Consider the following 2,769-nt stretch of genomic DNA (forward strand, 5'->3'; position numbering starts at 1 on the left):
GTCTTAATAAATTGCTTGGAAAACAAAATGTTTTGGGCATGTTGGCAATGTGTGAAATAACTAGTGCTGGGGCTTAGAAAAATGATACCTCAAAGCCTGGCACTTGGACATGCTGAGTACTTTCAACTAAAGAAGCAACCTCAGCACCAAGGTGACCTCCTGCCTTCCTGTCTATTGCCCCTCTGCTCCTCCAGAAGCACAGGGAAGGGTTTCCTTTGAAATTCTCCTATCTGACTAACAATGTTCCTCCAGAAGGAATGCAGTTGTCTTGGACCTCCTCCCTATAATCTCATCAAACCGGGAAGATTAACTAGAAGGAAAGAAGACTAGAATTGACATCACACCCAGAGCCCAGAGGAACTTTGTCCCAGATTATTGTCTTTTCTTCAGGTCCATTCATCCACCTAAAAATCCTTTACTCTTTCTCTAAAATTGCCTACATCTCTGTGTTAGTCTGTTTTCATGCTGCCGATAAAGACATACCCAAGATTGGGTAATTTATAAAGAAAAAGAGGTTTAATGGAATCACAGTTCCATGTAGCTAGGGGAAGCCTCACAATCATGGTGAAAGGTGAAAGGCACATCTTACATGAAGATGAAAGAGAACGAGAGCCAAGAGAAAGGAGAACCGCCTTATAAAACCATCAGATCTCATGAGACTTATCCACTACCAAGAGAACAGTAGGGGGGAAACTGCCCGCATCATCCAATTATCTCCCACTGGTTCCCTCCCACAACACATGGGAATTATGGGAGCTACAATTCAAGATGAGATTTGGGTGGGAACACAGCCAAACCATATCAATCTCCTGTTTCCCTGTCCCTCATGAAGAGGGCATTCAAGCTTCAGTCATCTTGCCCTTCATACTTTGTGTGACTCCTGTGCCCTTGCACGTTAACAAATTTGTATGCCTTTTCTCATGCTAATCTATCTATTGTCTGTTTATTTTATAGACTCAAATTCTTGAAGCTTTAGGGTTCAGAACGAAAGTTCCCTTCACCTGGGCACTAGATTCAGGCAAGGAGATAATTTTCATGACCAAAGATGCTTGTCAGTACTGTATTAAATTTTTCTTTAAGTTGAGACATTAGAAATATATTTTACTCCACGAATGAAATGTGACACAGAGCAAAAGAGAAACAGATAGGGATTAATAGGATATGGATATTTATAGGTATTTAGACCTGTGAGTTTAATTTTCTTTCTTCTATTTTTAGAGACAGGGTCTCACGCTGTCACGCAGGCTGGGGTGCAGTGTGTGGCACTATCATAGCTCACTGCTGCCTCAAACTCCTGGGCTCAAGTGATCCTCTGGCCTCAGTCTCCCAAATAGTTGGGACTACAGGCACAAGCCCCCACACCCAGATTTTGACTTGTAAGTTTAATTTTCTAAATTGGATAGATCTAATATTTAGAAGTAGTGGCTAAGAGGTCACATGCTTGTTCATTTCTCAACACTGAGTTAGCAACAAATCTGAATTCTTAATATTACTTCCCTCAAAGATGAGCCTGTGCCCTATAGGTCAAAGAGCACCAGAAAATGCATTTTCACTGAAGAGGAAAAAAGGCTAAACTGCCTGAGAAAGATTTTTATCTATCAAGTTAGCTAACATTCTTCCTTTTTTCCAAATTGGAAATTAAATATATTCATAAGCATCAATTTTTATTTGCCTCAACTGTGTCAGTGTAACATGAATGCTAACTCATGATCTACTAATGTTTGAAGCAATTATATCAAATGACATTTTTTAAATTGCAATTTAATGCAACTTTACAGAGAAGAATAACCAAATAAACATTAATATTGTAATGGAGAGAGTTTGGGTTCAGCATCAGAAAATCTCTGTGTTGAAATTCTCAGTTTGTCTCTTCCTCCTAGTGTTTTCTTGGATAGATACTCAACCTCTTTGAAGGTCAGTATCTTCATGTGTAAAACGGTGATACTAATGCTGATTGCCTACACTTGTTATGAGAACATTTGTGAAAGTCCTGGGAAATAACACTCACTAAATGATTGTTGCCCTTCCCCATTTCCAAAAAAATTGACTTCTGAAATATTTATTAATGCCTTTTTTAGCTGTAACCTATGTTTTTATGTTAGATTGTTTTACTTTTGCTTAGCACTTCTTCACTTACATATTTCCCTCTATTATTATTTGCCTTTTTAGTAGTCATCTAATATACAAATGATTAGTCATCTAATATACATCTAATATACAATTCAATTACATTGAAACATTTACATTTTCCCCAATTTTTTCCTGTAGTGAAGAATGCCCACTGGCTGTTTTTGAACAGCTTATTTTTCTCATGTCTTTGGACCACTTCCTTGACCAGGAAGTAGTGGAAGTACAATATCAGATCCAAGGGTGGGTATGGGAGGGGGAAATAAACTTTCAAAGACAAATATAAAATATTTAGAAGAAAATTAGAATTTCTGGACAGGTATGGCATTGAGAGTGATGTTTGGTTTTGCAAATGCATGATCCATTGCTCCAAATCTACCTCTGTCCTTCTCCAAGGAGGTTCTTACCGAGTAGTCTTATGCTTGGCTCATATCAAATGCTGTTCTTTTGGGAGGCAAATGGTCCTGCAGACCAGTGGAAAGGAAGTCAGTCAGAGTTAACCAGGTCAGAAACCAGCCTGAGTGAAAGATCCCACTCAGAAAGATCCAGTCACCATTCTATTCATTCTAAAGTACTTTGACTCCACTTTATCCCAGGCTGCCAGAGACTGTCTATTAATAGAGGTGTGGAACAGAACCTAGA

At 38.7% G+C, this 2,769-nt stretch overlaps 1 annotated feature.

Moving 5' to 3' along the window:
* Nucleotides 574-1,080: an enhancer, noted in NCBI's record as "OCT4-NANOG hESC enhancer chr5:123777990-123778496 (GRCh37/hg19 assembly coordinates)". NCBI's record gives its function as "activates a minimal SCP1, AML or CMV promoter by ChIP-STARR-seq in naive H9 embryonic stem cells {active_cell/tissue: H9 hESC(naive)}" and the evidence as "EXISTENCE:reporter gene assay evidence [ECO:0000049][PMID:30033119]".

This window comes from Homo sapiens, chromosome 5 (assembly GCF_000001405.40).
Source record: "Homo sapiens chromosome 5, GRCh38.p14 Primary Assembly".
Lineage (NCBI taxonomy): Eukaryota > Metazoa > Chordata > Mammalia > Primates > Hominidae > Homo > Homo sapiens.